Source organism: Homo sapiens, chromosome 12, assembly GCF_000001405.40.
Source record: "Homo sapiens chromosome 12, GRCh38.p14 Primary Assembly".
NCBI classification, from domain to species: Eukaryota; Metazoa; Chordata; class Mammalia; order Primates; family Hominidae; genus Homo; species Homo sapiens.
In genome coordinates, this window is record NC_000012.12 from 51,467,753 (window position 1) to 51,490,375 (window position 22,623).

At 41.4% G+C, this 22,623-nt stretch overlaps 1 protein-coding gene across 13 annotated transcripts in view; it reads left to right on the forward strand.

Moving 5' to 3' along the window:
• SLC4A8 (solute carrier family 4 member 8) overlaps positions 1 to 22,623 on the forward strand; it is a 124,318-nt gene that overhangs the window by 76,307 nt on the left and 25,388 nt on the right. For 7 of the 13 annotated variants that reach the window (NM_001405270.1, XM_011539011.2, NM_001258401.3 and 4 more), the window contains 8 exons: positions 1,862 to 2,036; positions 2,640 to 2,773; positions 3,535 to 3,780; positions 6,590 to 6,695; positions 7,293 to 7,454; positions 18,035 to 18,148; positions 20,947 to 21,108; positions 21,948 to 22,199. In NM_001405270.1, coding sequence (NP_001392199.1) covers positions 1,862 to 2,036; positions 2,640 to 2,773; positions 3,535 to 3,780; positions 6,590 to 6,695; positions 7,293 to 7,454; positions 18,035 to 18,148; positions 20,947 to 21,108; positions 21,948 to 22,199 — 1,351 coding nt within the window. Of the gene's footprint in view, positions 1 to 1,861; positions 2,037 to 2,639; positions 2,774 to 3,534; positions 3,781 to 6,589; positions 6,826 to 7,292; positions 7,455 to 12,239; positions 12,856 to 18,034; positions 18,149 to 20,946; positions 21,109 to 21,947; positions 22,200 to 22,623 lie in introns of those variants that run through there. The other 6 variants (NM_001405266.1, XM_006719700.2, NM_001258403.2 and 3 more) reach the window with 3 other exon arrangements.

Here is a 22,623-nt window from a genome sequence, read left to right on the forward strand (position 1 = left end):
TTCATCTATTTCTTCTCACTTAATTTTATTTTTATGTTTTCTAGATTATTTTAAACCAAATCACCGACATACATTTTACCTGTAAATACTTCAGTATGCATCTCTTTAATTAGGACATTAAAAAAATTATCATGCCATTATCAAATCTAACAAAATTAACAATCATTCTTTACATTGTCTAATGCTCAGTTCTTATTAAACTTTTTATGATTGTGTTAGCAACATCTTTTTAGAGTTCATTTGTTTGACATAGGAGTCAAAGTTTGCATTTGGTTATTATGTTCCCATTCTGTAATAGTCCCTTTTCCTTTTTTTCTATGCCATTTATTGGTAGAAGAAGCCAGGTGATTTGTGCTATAAAATGCCGAGTGGCTCTTTTTGTTATTCACCTGACAGCCCTCACCCTGGTGCAGTGACTCCACTCTTAGAAAAAGTGATTGAATTGGGAACACATCTCCTCCTTAGGGATATTTTGGTCTTGGTCTGTCTCATCTTTGAGAAGAGGAGAGGGGCCCTGAAGTCCTGCCACCAAGTCCTGTTGATTCTACCTCCTGATTAGCTCTTGAATCCATCCACTTCTCATCCTAATCTATGCTCCATTCATTATACTACCACAGAGTGGTCCTTCCAGAATGTATGTTTGATTATGTCACTCTTCTGTTTATAGTTCTTCAGTAACTTGACATGCTATTAGGATAAAGTTTTAATTCCTTAAAACCATTTCTGGCCGGGTGTGGTGGCTCATGCCTGTAATCCCAGCACTTTGGGAGGCCAAGGCGAGCAGATCATGAGGTCAGGAGGTCGAGACCATCCTGGCTAACACGGTGAAACCCCGACTCTACTAAAACTACAAAAAAATTAGCCGGGCATGGTGGCAGGTGCCTGCAGTCCCAGCTACTCGGGAGGCTGAGGCAGGAGAATGGTGTGAACCCAGGAGGCGGAGCTTGCAGTGACCAGAGATGGCGCCACTGCACTCCAACCTGGGCAACAGAGTGAGACTCCGTCTCAAAAAAATATATAAAAATAATGAATAAAACCATTTTTTAAGGCCTTTTTGACTTAGCTTCTCCAGCCTTGTCTATTGGCATTCACCCTTCACACTGTATTATCCACTCATATCTCTCAGCACCTTGATCCACCAAGCACTCTCACCTCTAAGTGTCACCCATGTTGGCCCCTCTGCCTCATCTGCTTAACTCCCAGTCCCTGCCTGAAGTCATGGCTGAAATGCCCCTCCCTGCTCTATGCCACCATAGCACCCTCACAATACTGCCTGTCTCCTGCACTAGACTTGGTCCTGGAGAGCAGGGCTGTTCATGTCTTGCTCATTGCCGCATCTCCAGTACCTGGCACAGTGCTTGGCACCAAGTATCTGCTGCTACTTGTCAATTGCATGAATGAATTATTATATACATTTCTCACAAGTAAGGGGGGTAGTTGTTCAGAGTAAGAAAGTACATGTGATAGGGGCTTTTTTATCTAGAAAACATTTAATAAAACTAGTAATTTTAATACCTTAAGTTGGTTTTGCACATTTCCTCCTAACAGCTCAGAATTTAAAGTCTGAAGCTAATACTTGCTTTCGTGTTAATTTTTTTGAACTTTTTATTGAATGGATAATACGCATATCTAAATTAATTCTTTGTATGTTTAGGATATTCATTCAAATTTACCTAAGTCATACCCTTGGTTGCAAAGAGACTCTCTGCTGACCTAAGAGAGTTATCTGTACTGGGGTCAAACTGAAGCCAAAGTCTTACCGCTGAACAGAGCACATTTGAAATGCTTTCAAATGTGTGCTGTTTACATGCTTTTAGGGAAGACGGACTGTGTTAGAAGCCTGTCTGTTGTGTTTCCACAGGCTATTTGGGGGCTTGGTGCTGGACATCAAGCGGAAGGCCCCCTGGTACTGGAGCGACTACCGAGATGCACTCAGCTTACAGTGTTTGGCTTCCTTTCTGTTCCTGTACTGTGCCTGCATGTCACCTGTCATCACCTTTGGGGGACTGCTTGGAGAAGCCACTGAGGGACGCATAGTAAGGACTTTTAACCACTTCTAATGATCCCAAACAAGACCTAAAATATTGTGGCGGCAGCCAGGTCCACTGTGGGGGAAATTACTTGGTCTAGGACTGAAGAGATTGGATTTTTCCTCTGAATTACCATGGTCTTCTGACATCACACCAAAGAGCAACACAGTCCTCTCTTTAGAACAGACTCTTCTGCTTGAACATCAGCTTCAGTAGCTGGTTGCCCAGTTGAATTTTCTGTTGCCTCAGTGATGGAAAATGGATATATTGATGCCATTTCAAAATAAGATTTAAAATGACTCTGTATGTGAGCTTGTAGTGTGAATGGTATCACTGTGCTTTCTGTATATTTTCAAATACTGAATTGAGTCACTGAAGAATAGGAGTTAGTTAAGGAATCATGTGTCAATGGAGCTGGGCACCTGAATTATTAAAGTAGTATCTGTTTACAGGAGTATTACATGGTGTGTACACATCACTCTTGCTAAGATGAAATACAAGCAAATGGCCATCAAGGCACACAGGAGAGCAAAGTCAGGAATGTAGCTAAGCCAACATTACTCTGTACTGATGGGCTATGGACTCAGTGATGACTTTTTTTCCTCTCAGAGTGCAATTGAATCCTTGTTTGGAGCTTCCATGACTGGGATTGCTTATTCCTTGTTTGCGGGACAGGCTCTCACCATCCTGGGAAGTACTGGACCAGTGCTTGTGTTTGAAAAGATTTTGTTCAAATTCTGCAAGTAAGACATTTGTTTTTCTGAAAACTCTAACCAGATTTAGTGATTATGCTGCCAGGATTAAATGTCAGGGTTCTACTCAGTACAGACAGGCAATATCATTTTGGATTGTAAGAAACCTGAAAGGAGACCATCATTTGGTCTGTTGTCCTGCCCCCGGGTAGCACCATACCCAAAATAGCAGATCTCCTATTGTTAAAGAGCTTGATTAATATTCCTCAGCCATTATTGAAGTCTTGACTTTTTATCTTTAAAAAGACTTTCCCTAGCTAATTCAAACTTCTCCATTTCCATTGTGAGTCAATTTTTAATTTGGCCTAATATCCTCCCCCTGCTGTTTTTTTTTGTTTTGTTTTGTTTTTTTGCTATTGATAGTGGGGCACAAGAGTGCTCTGGTTTCCCTAATTTTCCTATACAATCTTTTCTTTTTTCCTTTTATATTTCAAGTAGCAGCTCATGGGACTATGGCCAGCCCCTTTTTTTCTTAACTGCAAGAATAAGATCATAATTACATTAGGTAGTAATGGCAGGAATGTATATGAGACAATTTCTTTTTTTAGTTTTCGTATCCTTGCGCATATCCTGTGAGGCAAATCTGTATCATAACTGTGCCAGAGCACTATTTAGAAGGAAAATACAATCAGAATTAGGGATAAACTGGGTTCCAGTGCTTGTTTAGATGAAATGAATTAACCACATTTCTGACTCCTTGTCTCTTAATGCCATCCATCCATGCGTTCTGATGAACTTTGGTCTTGTTTCAGAGACTATGCTCTTTCATACCTCTCCCTGCGAGCTTGTATTGGACTGTGGACCGCTTTCCTGTGTATTGTCCTTGTGGCAACTGATGCCAGTTCCCTTGTCTGCTACATTACCCGTTTCACTGAAGAAGCATTTGCCTCCCTAATTTGCATTATTTTCATCTATGAAGCAATAGAAAAACTGATTCACCTGGCAGAGACCTACCCCATCCACATGCACAGCCAGCTGGACCACCTTAGCCTCTATTAGTAAGTGTGCTTTCTGCTTATTTTTAAAAATTGAGCAAAGGGCCTGAGTTTAATTGCTGATGTAGAGTGCTAGGCAGTGCTTACAGCTTCTGGTCAAGAAGTGTCTTGCCCTTTAGGAAACGGATCTCAGATACAGACAAGGAGTATTGGAGGGCTGCCAGAGGAGAACAATCAAAAGTGTTGACAGAGAAGATCGACTAGAAGTGAAACACGAAGGGGACTCAAGAAATGCTTTCCAGACCATGTCTTTTGGTTCTAGGCACTGAAACAAAAATGGGCTGCAAATGTAGCAGGGAGAATTTGAGTTAGTTATGGGGAGGAACTTCTTTTTGCAAGGACTTTGTGAGCCTCTGGACTATGTTATCAAGTGAGAGAATGGACTCTGTCCTTTGTTGAAATGAAGGACTCTCTTTCTCTGAAAGTATGTACAGGCAACTCTTAGGAATTATTAGGTGAAGATATATTAATCATTCCTTTCAGATCCAGAAGTGTCTCACACTGTATCATAAAGATCCAGGAGCCTACTTACTTCCTAGATTTCAACTTAAGAGATTATGATTTCTTTATGTGTTCAATATGGTTTGGATCACTTGGAAAAGAAACACGGTACCTGGCTGTGTTTTCAACCATCTAGGACACTCTGGTCCTATAAACATTTCTTCTCTGGAATAGTATTCTCCAAATTATGACTAAAGATCCTCTTCCCTTAGCTCTGTACATCAAGTTCTGGCTGTACAGTTCTGATGTGGAGGATCTGGTTGTGAAATGAACAACTTCAGTCTGAAACTGTCTCAGAAGAGAGAGTACACTTTCTGGAGGCATCTGCGGACCAGCGACAGATACACTTTCATCTATTCTAGTTATTCACTCATTAACCTTTTAAAAATCAGAATTAATAAAAAATTTATTAGAACTTTATTTTACTAGAAAGTAACAATGATTAGGGAGTATCATCTTCAAAGCCTAGTGAATTGGCTCCTATTGGCATTAGAGTTCTCATTTCTGTAAGGTTGATTCTTTGACCTCTTTTTATCATTATTTTCTTTGTTTAACAAATATTTATTGAGCACCTATTATGTACCAAGCACCATTTTAGGCCTTGGAAACGCAGTGGCAAACATGACAAAGGATCTGTCTTTATGAGGCTTATATCTGAGAAGACAGGCAAAGTGACCAGCCCCGGATTGAGTAGACTTTGGTTCCAGAAACAAATTCTTTGTTAATAAAGCTCAAGATGATATTTTTTTTTAGTTGCATTCTACTGTTATTTCATATGGTGCTGATGTGAAGCTAGAACTCCTTAACTCTTTAAATGATTTTATGTTAATATGTATGTAATTGATTTTTAAAAAATAGAGTTTATTTTTTAAAGCAGTTTTAGGTTCACAGCAAAGTTGAACAGCAAGTACAGAGAGTTAGCATATACCCCCTACCCCAGCACACACACAGTCTCCCCCAATATCAATATCCCACACCGGAGTGGTAAGTTTGTTACAATCAGTGAACCTACACAGACACATCATTGCCACCCAAAGTCCATAGATTACATTAGAGTTGACTCTTGGTGTTGTACATTCTATGGATTTTGATAAATGTATAATGACATGTATCCTCCATTATAATATCATACAGAATACTTTCACTTCCTTAAAAATCTCCTGTGCTCTGCCAGTTGCTCTCTCCCTACCCCCAACTCCTAACAACTACTGACCTTTTTATGTCCTTATAGTTTTGAATTTTCCAGAATATCATAGTTGGAATCATACAGTACGTAGCCTTTTCAGATTGGCTTCTTTCACTTTGTAATATGCATTTAAGGTCCTCTGTTTTTTCATGGCTTGGTGGTTCATTTCTTCTTAGTACTGAATAATATTCCATTGTCTGGATGTACCACAGTTTAATTATTTGGAATTGATTTTTTTAAACCTAAGTATAGGGCTTTATAGCTTTCCCTATTACTTTTCGTTTTGTCAATTTCTTCCTATTATTCTAACCTGTCGAGAGCTTTTTGAATTTTAATTCAGTCATGCCGTATCTTAGAAGGCATGCTTATTAAATTCACAGACCATACAAAGTTAGTGGTGTTGGCTGTGTCAGTTGACCATATTGGGAGCCAGGTCAGGCATGAAGCATGCTGGGACTGGGAGGCAACATGGTGGCCAATGGCACAGGTGTGGTCTGGTCTGGTCTGGTTTGGCTGGAGTAGGAGGCCTGGGGAAGCTAATGGAGTTTCTAGGTCTGGCTCTACCATGAGCGGCCAGGGAATGGCCAAGGTAGTGGGGTATTACCAAAGATAACTCAGTGTCAGAAAGTGCTTACATCACGATTCCAGGAGACTCTGACTTTTAGAACAAGAGCATGACGAAGGGTATAGAGAATAAGATATTCAGGCTTGGAAGAAGTTATTGAGAAGTAAGTGGGATATCGAGACCTCCTTGCTATGTAGACTAAATTTCATAGCAAGAGCCTAAGAGATAGAAATCGGGCAAAAACAAAAAAACAAAACAAAAACAAAAACAAAAAACAAAACAACCAATCAAGACTCATTCTGGGCACATCAGATGCCAAATGTGGTTATCAGCACAGTTTAATCCAAGACCCATGGGCTGATTTGAGTCAAACTTTTGTAATGACTGACTGAAAAATTAGAATGTGATGGGGCCTACAGAGGGGCCTCAGCTCCTCAGGTCTGAAGTATGCAAAGAAGCAGCAAGGCAGCTCCTGACAGCCTTTAAACCAGTTGTTCTAAAAACATTTAACTGAGTATTTGGCTGTTTTCCTCAGGAATCTTTTTAATTTTTCCCCTCAGCTGCAGGTGTACTCTGCCAGAGAATCCAAACAATCACACCCTCCAGTACTGGAAGGACCACAACATCGTGACAGCAGAAGTCCACTGGGCTAACCTGACTGTCAGTGTAAGTCTGGGAGCTGCCAGATGTCCTAGCATTGTGACCACAGGTTTAGGAGGGACTTCTAAGTGAAGGGGAGGAGTAGCCCTTTGGCCAAACTCTGGCATTTACCGAAATAAAGCTTTTTAAAAAACAATTCTTACTCACTTTCTTTTATCCTTTCAGAATTTTTCTTGTATGTTAAGGGAGAAGATTACCCTTCTCTTTTCTCCCCCCTACATCCTACCCAGTGACCCTGCACTAAGGATAGGTGGGGATGAAACCATGCAGGACAGGGGGCAGATCCAGACATGTAGGGTTGAAGAATGTTCAAGTTTGGAGGTCCTCTGTGATAAGAAAAATATAAGTTGCCAGGGTCCTTCCAGAGCCTTGGAAGTAGTATTGTTCAGAACAGTTCTATGTCTTAGGACCATAAGTAACCACCCTACTTGAAAGTGGCCTGTGCAAGACAGCACCCCGCAACTGCATAAAGGTCAAGGGGATGCTGCTTGCAGCCTCTGCTCCCAACAACCATGGGATGACAATGAGTGGTGGACTCAGTAGGAAACAGCTATTTATTTGGTTGTGTCTGCCTTTCATCACCCAGAATGCTTATTCCTCCAGGAATGCCAGGAGATGCATGGAGAGTTCATGGGATCTGCGTGCGGCCATCATGGACCCTACACTCCTGATGTCCTCTTTTGGTCCTGTATTCTCTTTTTCACCACCTTCATCCTCTCAAGCACCTTAAAGACGTTTAAGACGAGCCGTTATTTCCCAACCAGAGTAGGTAGCATGTTCATGCATTTCTTTCACGTTAGAATCAAATATAACAGAACCTTTTCTCAGCCTTCATGCTGCTTATGGGGTTGATTGGCCAGGTGGAGAACTCCGGATGTCCTGATGAGCCACACTGGCATTCTCTCCTAGTGTCTGGCAGCCTCTTTCATAGATCTGTGGTTGGGAATGAAGGGTTAATACTTAAAACCTTTTTGGTTTACAAGTGCCAGTTAAGGTTAAGGTGGTAGTGATGGTTTTTTAAAAGTTATTAAGTCTTATTTCCAGAATGCTGTTACGTTTCATTTCCAGAATTCTGAGACACTTAACACACAATAGCTACAGCTGGCTCCTGAATACAGTAAATTGTCATTGTGACCTTGGATACTTTAGGGGACCCAAAAATCTTCTCCCAGGGATGGCTTTTTTAATAGCTTATGAAATCACTGGCGACACTGACTGCAGCAACCAGCATGCTCCTGACTTAGTTTGTATGACTGTTTGAAACCTCAGCAACCTTTCCATGATGCAGATAGCATTGTTTGTATTATGAGCAAGGCTTTTGCCAGTTTTGGCAGGGCAAGATTAGAGGCTGAGTGTGGAGTAGCTACATGGGCCATTTCTTTGAAAGGGAACTTGAGAAGGTGGAGAATGGCTACTGGGACCTCATCACAGAAAGTTAACACTGAAAAGAATAAGTGCATGAATTATTTACATCCTTCAGTCACATGGAAACATCTATAATAAATGACCATTACATTTGCCATATCAAAAATATAAAAGGAAGGTGGGTGATCTACAGTGACCACAAAGTTTGTGCCACAGAAGGGCCCCCTGAAGGCCTGGGTTACATGTACTTTTACCACAGTATACCAAGCTAAACCTCAAACATACGAATCAGTGAGAAGAAGCCACATACCTTTTTAATTTGCCAAAAAGTTAGAACAGCCAGATATGAAGAAATACATTGTGTATTTGTAGTTTATTTAAAGAATACACTCATGCTGGGCGTGGTGGCTCACACCTGTAATCCCAGCACTTTGGGAGGCCCAGGCGGGTGGATCATCTGAGGTCAGGAGTTTGATACCAGCCTGGCCAACATGCTGAAACCCATCTCTACTAAAAAAACAAAAGTTAGTTGGGCATGGTAGCACATGCCTGTAATCCCAGCTACTCGGGAGGCTGAGGCATGAGAATCAATTGAACCCAGAAGGTGGAGGTTGTAGTGAGCTGTGATTGCACCACTGCACTCCAGCCTGGGCGACAGAGTGAGACTCTGTCTCAAAAATAAAAAAGTTAAAAAAAAAAAGAGCACAGTCATTTGATGCCTTCTGATATAGAACTGAGAAGAAATTCATATTAGTGATGATACACTATTGTAGATAGTTTTAATAAATGTTTAAGGAGAAGATAATATAAAAAAGGGTGTTCATTTTGCTGGCGAGAGATCTACCATCAGTACATCAAAAATGGGGATGTGCTCCCAGTCCTCTATTGGGGGATAGGTGCTAGTGGCCTTCAGAGAAACCTATTTATGTGGCCAGTGGTGTGGCCTTACCTGCAGTAAATAAAAAACCTTCTTGGTGTTTCATATAGAAAATCAGCCATTGGGCGGGGCATTATTTACGGCATTTTTTTTTCATTGCACACAATAATTTCTGACCTATACATGTATAATACAGCATTTTCTTGTTTTTCTTTTTCTTTTCTTTTTTTTTTTTTTTTTCTGAGATGGAGTCTTGCTATGTTCCCCAGGCTGGAGTGCGATGGTACAATCTTGGCTCACCACAACCTCTGCCTCCCGGGTTCAAGTGGTTCTTCTGCCTCAGCCTCCAAAGTAGCTGGGATTGCAGGCACTTACCATGCCTGGCTAATTTTGTATTTTTAGTAGAGACGGGGTTTCTCCATGTTGGTTAGGCTGGTCTCGAACTCCCAACCTCAGGTGATCCGCCTGCCTCAGCCTCCCAAAGTGCTGGGATTATAGGGGTGAGCCACCATGCCCAACCAATACAGCATTTTCCATAAAATATATTTTTAATTTAAATCATACAAAAATTCATAATATGATTTTGTGAATGTGTGTGAAAGTGTGAGACCTTTACATTTCACTACAAAACCTGTGATGGTTTGGTTTTTAAAGGCTAAACGGTTGGTATTAAGCAAGTAAATATTTTAATGAAACTATAACTCAGGAACAGTTTAAAATATTAGTTTCCCACTTAGATTTCAAGGCATAAAAAGGGCTGAGTTTATCCCTTTAAGTGCTGTCAAGAATTCACTTGGGTTTGTGATATTTGGTGGTACAATGCCAAATGCCCACAGCAGCATTATATTGTACTTTGCCAAAGGTAGACAGAGGAATTCTCTATTTCTCAGCAGTCGTTTCCCCAAAAAGTATAATGTTTATTTTTAGTTAAAATAGTCTTGTTTTACCATACCACATGATGACTCCCTGGAAGTTATCATGTGAAGTTCCCCAAATTAGTATTTTCTCATCTCTGAGCTCTTTGCCTGACTCCATTTCTACATTTTTCAGGGGCCAGAGGCTCATCTCTGCCATTTTTCCATGTATCGCCTCCTGATTTGACTTCACTGATTATCTGCTGTGACTAGCAGTGTTATTTTGGATACTTTAAGAATTTCAGATATGGCCAGGCATGGTGGCTTACATCTGTAATCCCAGCATTTTAAGGGAGGCCGAGGTAGGTGGATCACCGGAGGTCAGGAGTTTGAGACCAGCCTGGCTAACATGGCAAAACGCTTTCTCTACTAAAAATACAAAAATTAGCTGGGCATGGGCCGGGCGCAGTGGCTCACGCCTGTAATCCCAGAACTTGGGAGGCCGAGATGGGCAGATCACGAGGTCAGGAGATCGAGACCATCCTGGCTAACATGGTGAAACCCTGTCTCTACTAAAAATACAAAAAATTAGCTGGGCATGGTGGCGGGCGCCTCTAGTCCCAGCTACTCGGGAGGCTGAGGCAGGAGAATGGCATGAACCTGAGAGGCGGAGGTTGCAGTGAGCCAAGATCGTGCCACTGCACTCCAGCCTGGGGGACAGAGCGAAACTCCGTCTCAAAAAAAAAAAAAAATTAGCTGGGCATGCTGGCAGGTGCCTGTAATCCCATCTACTTTGGAGGCTGAGGCAGGAGAATCACTTGAACTCGGGAGGTGGAGGTTACAGTGAGCCGAGATCACTCTACTGCACTCCAGCCTGGGCAACAGAGCGAGACTCCATCTTAAAAAAAAAAAATTACAGACGCAAAGAAACTTTATATGATATTATAAAAGACAATCCTTTCCATTTTGGTTTATTTCAGTATTTTAGTTGCAACCTGGGATTAAATTGGAGTTTCAAATGTGATGAAAAGTAGAATGATAACATTCTGTAATTTTCCTACTGCTCTGCACCAAATTCCAGAGTCTCTGGAGTTTGTATTTCAAATTACTCAGTCGAATGAAACAGGATTTATTGCTGTCTGCTTAACATATATTTGTTTGGTTGAAAGGATTTTTCCAGAAACTGTAGGAAAATGAAGCAGAATCAACTGGGTGAAATATAGCACAAACATTGGATTAGGATGTGGTGAATTGTGAACAATCAGGATTCTGGTTGTGACTGGGGCCCCTGTCTCATAGGAGCTTAATACCATGTGAGCCAGGGACGCAGTGTCCAAGGCCCATGGCCTGGAGACCTGGATGCTGGCTGTGGACCTTGGGCAAGTCCCTCATCTTCCCTGTGCCTCATCTGCACAATGATGTGATGACACCTGCCATCTCTTTCCAATTATGCTTCAAGGATGCAGTGAGATTTGATATGATGACCCAAGAGTAGAAGGTGGTGTGCCATGGTGTGTCCTAGTTTAGCATGCTCCCTGCCTTCTCTTCTCTGACATTTTATTCAATTTGGGAACAGATGGGATTGGCAGGAGGGGAGCTCATGGTGTAGTAATACTCTACTAAAGTGTGCCTATTGGTATTACCTTCTAATGTTGAGTTGGATTTCCTAAAGCAGCCCACTTTGTTACTGAAGTTGCTGACTCCTGTGGAAATCCCCATACTAAGCAGCCTTACAAAATCCAGTCCCCATAGAATAATGACTCCACACAGGCGTCAAAAATGGATTGTCTTCAATTATGTTACAAAGCAAACACCTTTTTGGGGGATGGAGGATGATTGGGTGTTTGGATTGAAATGTAGACAAAGGGGCTGTGTGCGGTGGCTCATGGCTATAATCCCAGCACTTTGGGAGGCCAAGGTGGGTGGATTGCTTGAAGCCAGGAGTTCCAGACCAGTCTGGCCAACATGGTGAAACCCCATCTCTACTAAAAATACAAAAATTAGCTGGGCGTGGTGGTGCATGACTGTAATCCCCACTACTGGGTTGAGGCACGAGAATTGCTTGAGCCCAGGAGGTGGAGGTTGCAGTGAGCTGAGATCGTGCCACTGCATTCCAGCCTGGGCGACAGAGTGAGACTTGGTCTCAAAAAAAAAAAAAAAAAGAAATGTGGACAAATATAGCTAGCAAGTGTATTTTGAGCAAAATACATATTTTATAATAAAATTTTATAAATAAACTTTGTAAAATCAATGGTATAAAATCAATATTTAAGATTATAGGCTATATGTTACTTAATTTCATTAAATAGAAAAAGAAATTCAGCCCTTCTGATGCCTAAACATATTGTAAGAAAGTGTACTATGGCTGCCCTTTTTTCTGTCTCACGAAACAGAGGGCTGTTTCTACAAGGCCAAGTTTTGTATAAATGGAATTTTTTTTTTTTTTTTTTTCAGATGGAGTCTTGCTCTGTCGCCTGGCTGGAGTGCGGTGGTGTGATCTTGGCTCACTGCAACCTCCGCCTCCTCCCGAGTAGCTGGGACTACAGGCACGCACCACCACAGCCAGCTAATTTTTGTATTTTTAGTAGAGACGGGGTTTCCCCATGTTGGCCAGGATGGTCTCAATCTCTTGACCTCGTGATCTGCCTGCCTCGGCCTCCCAAAATGCTGGGATTACAAGCATGAGCCTGGCCAAGTGCTATTCTTTATTTCAGATTGAGAGTTGGGAAAAACTGGAGCAAATAATGGATTTCTTTCTTGCTTAAAATGTATTTATATGTATGTCTTATTATATACAAGGCAGATTTCCCTGGAATAAAAGTCTAGAATGTGCTGCTTAATTTTACACATGTGTGCAGGCAATATTATCTGTGAGTGAAAAGTGGAATAATACGTGGATTGGGTCAACTGATTATCAGCTTGTTAGGAGTCCTCTGTGTGAGACATGGTGGTATAATTGTGAAGTTCTCACTGTATGTGGATGTTCATGTGAAAGATAGTACTTTCTTCCCGTAAATATCTTTTGATTTCCATTTGTATGGAATCCCAATGAATGTATCTTTGGAAAACATAATGTGTCAAAATTTGTATTTTGTTCATTGATCTAAATGCCCGTGTAACTAATCAGAAATCCAATTTGGCTCAGATTGGGAATTTTCTTTTAAAGGAAAAAAATTTACAGAAAAGACTACTGGAAGAATCATGTTCAAATGACATTTCACATCAATGTTTCTTCAATATTTTGGAGTTGACTTGGTTGTTTTCTCCTACCTACAATAGAATGTGCCTGCTGTTTCTCTGTCGCTCACTTTGGGCTTGCAGGAAGTACAACGGGAATAGCCTGAGCTTCTTGCTCCCTGTATAATTTATTCACTTTACCTGAACTGCCTTACCTGCAGTTCATAGTGAGAACACCTGGGCTTGTAACTTGCCTCCACTTTTAAGTGTGATAGGGCCAAGTTGCTTTACCTCTCTGGGCGTTTTTCTTTAAAACGAATGGGTTAAACTAGATGAGCTCAGAAGTCCCTTCCTGCCCTAACATTATCTTCTATTTTTATTTTCCTGTGGTTACTACTATTAGGGTCAGACATGTGAAATGTGAGGGACCATTTAGAGATTTAGATGTTATATTTTTGGATTATTACAGAGTATACACCCAAGTTTAGGACCTGTGTCATTTTTAGTGTCCCCACCCCGTTTCTATTTCTGTTCCATTTGTCTTTACTTTCTTTGTAATCATCTCATTTTTTTTCCACTCTTGAAACTCACAACTTTCCAGTCCATGAGCAACTTTGCTACCATCCCCCTCAAAAACAAATCTATTTAAAACACCCTCCTAGAAAAGCCTCTGAACCACCTTCAGCTAAATCTGTAACGTTTATAGAATATTTTAAAATCTTAATTCAGCTAGAGTTATGATCCCCAAGCAAGTGCTGACGAAGCTATCACAGAAATGATGTCTTTTTCACCTTGTAGGTATCATTGTTGCTAAATCACATCAGTACAGGCCTTCTGTGGGGAGACAGCAGGGGGCAGGGGCAGGACTAGGGGATGGGAGTAGATAAAACTGTGATTCTATCCTTTACTTTAGGTAAAAAATCCTAGGTTATGAAACAAGGTTCTGGGCCAAGCACAGTGGCTCAGGCCTGTAATCCCAGCACTTTGGGAAGTTGAGGCGGGCAGATCGCTTGAGCCCAGGAATTTGAGACCAGCCTGGGCAACATGGCAAAACCCTATCTCTACAAAGTATATATAAAAAAAAAAAATTAGCCAGGCGTGGTGGTGTGTGATAGTAGTCCCAGCTACTCAGGAAGGCTGAGGTGGAAGGATCACTTGAGGCCAGGGAGGTCAAAGCTGTAGTGAGCTGTGATGATGTTACCGCACTCCAGCCTGGGCAACAGAGTGACACCTGCTCAAAAACAAAACAAAACCAAAAAAAACAAAGTTCTCTACTCTTAAGTTGGTATATAAGATGACCTGCACAGTGTCACAGAGATTTCCCACTCAGTAAATCACTCTGAAAGAGTTTGCATAAGATTCTGTAGATTTGCAGTATTTAATGTGGATAGTCAATAGCTACATGTGGCAAATGGCCACTTGAAATTTGGCTTGCCAAATTGAGACTGTACTGTACACATAAAATATATACCAGATCTTGAAGGATTGGTACCAGAAAAGAATATAAAACGTTTCATCAATATTTTATATTGATTACATACTGAAATGACAATATTTTAGATATATCGATTAAATAAAATAATAATTTGATAAATATAATTATTTCACTTATTTTTATATTTTTTATGTGGCTACTAAAAAATTTAAAATTAGACATAGGGGTAACGTACTTCTTTGTTTTTTGAGACAGAGTCTCACTCTGTCGCCCAGGCTGAGTACAGTGGCACAATCTCGGCTCACTCCAACCTCCACCTCCTTGGGTTCAAGTGATTCTCCTGCCTCAGCCTCCTGTGTAGCCGGGATTACAAGTGTGCACCACCATGTCTAGCTAATTTTTCTATTTTTAGTAGTGACAGAGTTTCACCGTGTTGGCCAGGCTGGTCTCGAATTCCTGACCTCAAGTGATCCACCCACGTCAGCCTCCCAAAGTGCTGGGATTACAGGCGTGAGCCACCGTGCCTGGCCTGGCTAATGTAATTCTATTGGACATGCTACTCTACACTTACATGGTTTGGGGTAGGCAGTGAAATACCATAGGTAGAAAAGGTAATTCAGTGAAGCATCCAAATAGACAGAAACAACACAAATATTTTTGCTGGAGTCAGGAGCACTATGTGGCACAGAACACCTCCCAGAAAGCAGAAAATTTTTCTGCCTGAAAACCAATGTATATGTAAGACCCCAAGTAAAAAACAAAAGCAAATGAGCCCCAAACTGTCTTCCCTCAGCTTTGCCTGGGAGCTGCTATCTTTGCACTTATTTTTCTAGCATCAGGATATTAGCCACATGAGGGAGCCAAGCATATTTGTCTCATTTTAGGCATCATTCTTTTGTGGTTCCCCCCACCCCAGGTATTGTTGAGTCTGTCCAAAGCTGGGTGAGATACCACACAAGTCTTGCTTCCCTCAGTGTGCTGCTTCTCTCGGCCTTGGTGGAGGCTGAGCCTGTTGCCGGTACCCACCAGCCCAGTAGGTTTTGATGCTGCCTCCTGAAAGAGATTGTATTTGTTTCGTTTTGCACTAGTCACAGTTGTTGTTTAAACTACATCAAATTTGGGGGGAGAATATTTGCCTGTGATGGAAAGAGAGATAGATGAGTTATTGCTTCAAGTGTTTTAAAATAAAAGCTATTCTCACACACAAAAAAAAAAAAGAAAGAAAAAGAAAAGAAAGGGAGCTCAAATCAGGAGGAAATGGTGGTTTTTCCTGTAAGTGAGGTTTCAGCCAGACACATTTTCTTTTTCTTTTTTTCTTTTCTCTTTTTTTTTTTAAGTCAGTAGTGGTTTATTAAATGGTTGTATCACATCTGGAAAACATTATTCAAAACATTTATTCAGCATACTTCCTGTTCATATTTTAGAAGATGTAAAGCAATGAAATTTGCTCTAAATAAATGGCATTTTTTTTGCCATTATTTGGCATCTTGCCAGGTTACTTTTTACATCCAAGTTCAAGTGATATTTTGTTCTCAAAATAAAATAATTTTCAAGGTTTGGAAGTATAATGCGAAAATTTTAACAGGGATTCTTTTTTTTTTAATTATACTTTAAGTTCTAGGGTACATGTGCACAATGTGCAGGTTTGTTACATATGTATACATGTGCCATGTTGGTGTGCTGCACCCATTACCTCATCATTTACATTAGGTATATCTCCTAATGTTATCCCTCCCTGCTCCCCCCACCCCACAACAGGCCCCGGTGTGTGATGTTCCCCATCCTGTGTCCAAGTGTTCTCATTGTTCAGTTCCCACCTATGAGTGAGAACATGCGGTGTTTGGTTTTCTGTCCTTGTGATAGTTTGCTCAGAATGATGGTTTCCAGCTTCATTCATGTCCCTACAAAGGACATGAACTCATCCTTTTTTATCAGCCAGGCACATTTTCAATACAGGGTACATAAATGGGAGGACTCAGTTAATTAGATATTTAGTGTACACCCATATATGACTAGAACACATTCTTAGACTTCAGTGAGCCTACATGGCAGTCACGGGAGGTACATATTAAGTAAGTTCTGGGTCTTTGTTTCCTGCTAGGACAAATAGTTAACAAGTGGCTGTTCTGTACTGACTACTTGCTCAGGCCTGGGTTAAGTGCTAGGGAGGTGCAACAGAAACTTAAAAGATAGTATCTGTCATCAGATAGGAAGGAAAAACACATGAAACAATCAGATGCTATATGCAAAGTAGTAAACAGTTGGATGTCCCCTGGGATGTACGTGCCGTAGGAGTTCAGAGGAGAAAAGGGCCACTGGGCCCCAGGATGGTCAAGTGGGCTTCATGTTGGGGATGGGGAGGCAGTGGATACTCAGAGAATTTATATTGCATTCAGAGAAGAACTAACAAAACCATGGAGGAGGAACTGGAAACCTTGGGCTTCAAAGCAAAGTGAAGTCAGGCTAAGGTACCGGTGATATTACGTGTGGCTAAGATATGTTTTGCTCTCACTCTTTTGGAAGCTTAGATTAAGGCAGGCACGGGTCATTTGCCAGGTACTGTATTTTATTAAAGCCACACTATAAAGTGAGGCAGTCCTTTTATGATGGATCCTAAATTGGATGGGAATCTCCAACAAAATAGAGATATGTGCCATGGAGGAAAATAAAGCAGTAAAGAAGTACAGGAAGTGCTGGGGTGGAGGGAGGTGGCCAATTTTAAGTGGTATCATCAGAGAAGAGCTCAAAGAGAAGGTGATATTTGAGTTGAACCTAAAAGACGTGAGGGAGCTGCCCAAGAGGTTACCTGGAGGAAAGGCATGTTAGGTAGAGGCATGAACAAGTACAAATACCCCGAGGTGGGAGTGAGCTTGGCATGTTTAAGGAAACAGCAACGCAGTCTGTGTGTTTGGAGCAGAGTGGGCAAGCAGGAGAGCAATAAGAGCTGGGGTGGGAGATGTGATGATGCCAATTGTGTGGCCCTCATAGGCCAAGAAGGCCTTTTGACCAGAAGCCATTTCAGGGTTTTGATAGAGGAGTGACATGACCCAACTTATGTTTCAAATAATTACTCCAGTGACTGCATTTAAAAAACACTGCAGGGCAAAGGCAGAAGCAAGTTAGGAGGCTGCTACCATTACCTGAACAGGAGCTGGTGGTGACTTGGATCTGGGTGGGAGCAGTGGCGGTGGTAAGAAGTGATCAGACTCGGGATATGTTCTGAAGGGAGAGCCAATAGGACTTGCAAATAGACTGGCTATTGGGTATGAGGGAGAAGTGGAGTTGATGCTGCTGCTGAGGTTTTTGGCTAGCACTGAGGACCTTGGCTGATCCCAGAAAATCCAAGTTCTCAGAACTAGAGTCCCAACCTGGCCCTAAATGTCCCAAACAGAACTCTTCAGAGGATGGTCTGGGTTATGTTAGCATTTGTCAGAGGGTTCATTCTCCCTCATCATATCCACACTTTATGAGCATCAGTTGGGCAATTAACATATTCCTGTTGTTTAAATTTGCTTGCATTAATTCAACTGTAAGATGAAAACATTCTTCTGAGGATTTTTAAGCCTTTTACAATACTAACCTCTTTTCTACTGTATTTAACCTGCCAAAACATGTGTCCACTTCTTTCTCATGCCAGGTACGCTCCATGGTGAGTGACTTTGCTGTTTTCCTCACTATCTTCACAATGGTGATTATTGATTTTTTGATTGGAGTCCCATCACCAAAGCTTCAAGTTCCCAGTGTGTTCAAGGTAAACAGATCTCAGAGTACTTGGTGCACTCATGTAATTTCATACATTCTGATGCCAAGTAAATTTCAAAGGCCTTTTCATATCCTAATCCTGAGTTTTACAGTCCCCTAAATCTGAACCTTGCTCCTCATACCTTGTCATGTAGAAAAGCAAACTTCAGACTTGGTTGAATTCAAGACAGAAAAGCCAGAGAACAGAAAAACCAAGGTTGTTTAATGAATGAAAAGTATTATTATTATTGTTATTAATACCACTTACTGTTCTTAATATGTTAATATTTAAACAATGGAATGTGCACATTTACATAAATATATTCAAGACACTGTGGAAACATGGGTCTCTGGAACAAGCCTCGTTAACAGCACTTTCATTGAGCATCAGCTGTATAAGGGCACTGGGAAGAATGAAAAAGGTAAAGGACTTGGCCTGAACCTTCAAGGATGGTGCCCCTTCCTTGAAGGGGGAGAATGGAACTGAGAGGAGCCTCATCAGGAGTCTAGGGCCCCTGCCGGAGTAATCATGACATCTCTTTCGAAATCATCTCAATCTGATTTCATTGTTTGTATAACTCTCTCTAATATATGGTATTTTTCAAGAAACTATACAAAAAGTCAAACAAATGATCAATACATGGGGACTCCAAATAGATTTCAGTTTGGGAGCACTGACTAAGTAGACAAAGAAGATAGAAAAGCTGAGCTCAGTTCTATAGAGCCCCATAGGGTGAGGGGAGAGAAAATCTGTGCGTACTCAGTGACTTTAGAAGAATTATGAAGGAGGAAAGTGGGAGAAGTTGGTGAGGAGAAGGCCGACAGGAATAAAGGCAGTCCCTGACTTGCAAATGCTCCCTTCAGTTGTCCCTTTCCTTTCTCTTTTTTCTCTCTACCCATGAAGTAGGCCTGTTGAAATACCTTCTTCCATATTGTCTGAAAATTTTTAATTTTGTTGAATTTGCTGAAATGCCACCAGTTGGAAGTTTATGGACTAACCAATCCCTCTTGTAAGTATAATACCTTCTAGAATATGGCATTCTTGCCTTTGTGTGAATGAGCACAATCAGCTTTCTCTCTAATACCTAGCTGAGATCAGTGCTGCAGGAGGAATGGATTTTGTCTAAAAATAGGTAATATGGGAACATTAAGCGGTCCTTGGAAAGGTTCCAAAGGGATAGGCCTAAGATAGTCAGAAGGCACTGAATTTCTGGGACATCTGTGAAGAACGCCTCTGGGAGGTAGGACAGGGGAGAAAGGGAAACGGGAGAATGTCAAAGAAAATGTTGCTCATGACAGGCTCCATTTTCAGGAGGCAGAGAAGAAGTTTTCTTCTTTTTGTCTCTCCCTATTGTATCACATGGCACTCAACTCCCAAGACCCAATCTGAAGGCTAGTACTATTACTAGGGGTATCACGTCATTAAGGGTTTATTTAATAAGTTTTTGTGTTGGTCTGAGAACTTAACTACCACTTAGAACATTGTTGTTAGGGAAACATAGATTCTGTAAACTTTTAGAAGCTAACCCATTCATAATTTTGGACTTGGTGGTGTTATTAAAGAGTATTTGAATCCTAGAGTCATGACTAATAAGGAACCAAATCAAATATAACAGTCTGTGCTTTGTTTCTTGAATTTGGGTCAACTCTGGTCCAGTTGGTATCCCTGGCCTTTTATCCTCTAGCACCACTTGCCAAAAAAGGGCGAACTTGTCTTCCTCAGAGTACACTGCAGGGGTGGGGTAAGGATCTAGGTGAGTTTAGATATGTTGTGAACACCCCAGTAAGATTTATAAACAGTTGTATTACAGGGGCATTGGAGAGGATCCTAGGTCAAACAAACCCCCAACTTTAGCCGTCTTAGGCTCCTTCTCAAGTCTCTGATGGCTGGACCCCTGTTTCACTATTGATGGGAGAAGCCCCTTGGAGCAATCCAGTCCATTCAAAGCCCAAGAGATTCCATGCAGATGGCTCCACTTTGCCTTTATTTATGCTGTAGACACACATTATGTGGCTCTGGAGAGAAGTCGTAGGAGAATAGTCTAAGTTATTTATATTTGTCTTTAGAAGTCATTAAATTTTTTTGACAACAGATACAGTTGTTAATTATATTTTACTTGGGTTAATGTTGAGATACACTTGTTTTCTCTCTACACAGAGGTTTGGAAAGTAAGTGGAAGGAAGTGCAAGATTAATGAATATTTCACAAGAAATTAATAATTGAAGATTGACTGTTTCAAAGGGGATTCGGAACTATTACTGAGCAAAAGGGGCTTGCTGCCCAATGTGCTAGAAGCCAATACTATGATACCAGGTTTTTGAGAGAAGAAAAGTTTTTTATTTCAAGTTTACTAACAAGGAGACAGGAATTCAGCTCAAATCTGTCTCCCTGCACTGGCTTTACTGCAATAATTAGAAAATGTTTAGGGGGTGGATTCTGGGATAGTAGGTTATTGGTAGAAGGAAAGGGGAGGTCTGGAAAGTCCTCAGGCATTCATAGTTATCTCTTCATGCTACCTCTGGGTCCCCTGTGCCAAGGGGGTTTCAGCAAGTTGTTTCTTTTCTTATCTACCATCCTGCAAACCCAAGAATTTCTGTTAGTCATTGGTGTCTTTAACTCTTTGGGAAATGGTTTCAGAACAAGGTCATAGATTTCCTAAGGAGTTGCTGTATTTCATGCCTTTTTTTTTTTTTTTTAAGAACCTCACTCAAGAATAAAAAGAAATATGGATATTGTGATCCAGTTTGATATGTTTTACCCCAATGACTATAACTTAAAATACAAAAATAATATATTTTCCCCCTTAGCCAACAAGGGATGATCGCGGATGGATTATTAATCCCATTGGCCCCAATCCCTGGTGGACTGTGATAGCTGCAATTATCCCAGCTCTTCTCTGTACTATCTTGATATTCATGGATCAGCAGATCACAGCCGTCATTATTAACAGGAAGGAACATAAGCTCAAGGTAAAAAGAGGTTCTGACCTAGAAGGCTGCTGTGGCAACCTGTTACATTTTCGTAAAATTTTAGGGTAAGCACATCTAGACCAGAAATTGTAGAATCTCATAGAAGAGGTTCATAAGGGGTTTCCATTCTTTAATAACAAAGATTTCTTTGGAGATTAGAGTGGAACATGGTTGTATGGTATGAAAGCAACGTGGACTCCATTACTCTCCTCTCACACCTGTGGGGAAGGTGATTGGGTAGAGTTCCTGGTGATCCCTATATAGCTATATGCTTTGGGTCAAGCAACTGTACAGCTTGTCTTCCTGAGGTTCAGGTGGGGGCCTGGGCCACTGTTTCCTAGAGGCAGGTATTCTCCCACTGGTGTCTGTTACTATAGTTTCTAGGCCGAAACTGGAACCCTAGGATCCTAGGGAAGTAACAGAGCAGGCAAGCAATATCCAAATCTGTCAAGGATCTGGGGGTATGTGGTAGGAAGCCAATAAGGACACTTACCTCTAACTCCCATAGTTTCTACCATCTAGAATGGTCAAGATGTGGCAGGGTGTCTGGTTAATCTTCCAGAGAAGAATGGATCTTTGAATGTGTAAGACTCAGAGTCAGCTGGAGGCACTTGGAAAAATAATCAATATTGGCATATATAGGACAGGCTAAGATTCCCCTTTTTCTTCTTTGTTTCCTCCTAACCAGGAGGGGCTACAAGACTCCTCTTGGATCCCTGAACCCCTTCCTTCTTATCCATACACCCCTTCATGCTTTGGGCCTGAGACCCGTAGCTCACTGTTCTATGCCCTACTACAGCTAGCCTACTGATGGTGACAAAGACTCTGTTTCCCCACAGAAAGGCTGTGGCTACCACCTGGACCTACTGATGGTGGCCATCATGCTGGGTGTCTGCTCCATCATGGGCCTGCCCTGGTTTGTAGCTGCAACTGTCTTGTCCATCACACATGTGAACAGCCTCAAGCTAGAATCTGAATGCTCTGCTCCTGGAGAACAGCCCAAGTTCCTGGGCATCCGAGAACAGAGAGTGACAGGCCTTATGATCTTTGTGCTGATGGGCTGCTCAGTCTTCATGACGGCTATCTTAAAGGTAATCATCCTTTCAGTCATTCAGCAAATATCAAGGGCCTGATTTGTGCCAGGAATCCTGCCAGGTGCTGGAAATACAGTGGTGCCAAATACTTACAAGTATAAATCCCTGCCCTGAAAGAGTTTATTCTAGAGGGATAAGACAGATAACATGTAGTTAAGAAAATTAGTTAAGAAACAAACATGATAACTACAGAATGTGAATAGTGATATAAAGGAAATACACAGTGCTTTCTGGCACTATAGAGAACTGAGAGGGGTCTATTTTAGTAGGATGGTCAGAGAAGGCTTCTCTGAGGAGATGCTATTTAAGATGAGGTGGAGGCCAGGCGCGGTGGCTCACACCTGTAATCCCAGCACTTTGGGAGGCTGAGGTGGGTGGATCATGAGGTTCGGAGATCGAGACCATCCTGGCTAACACAGTG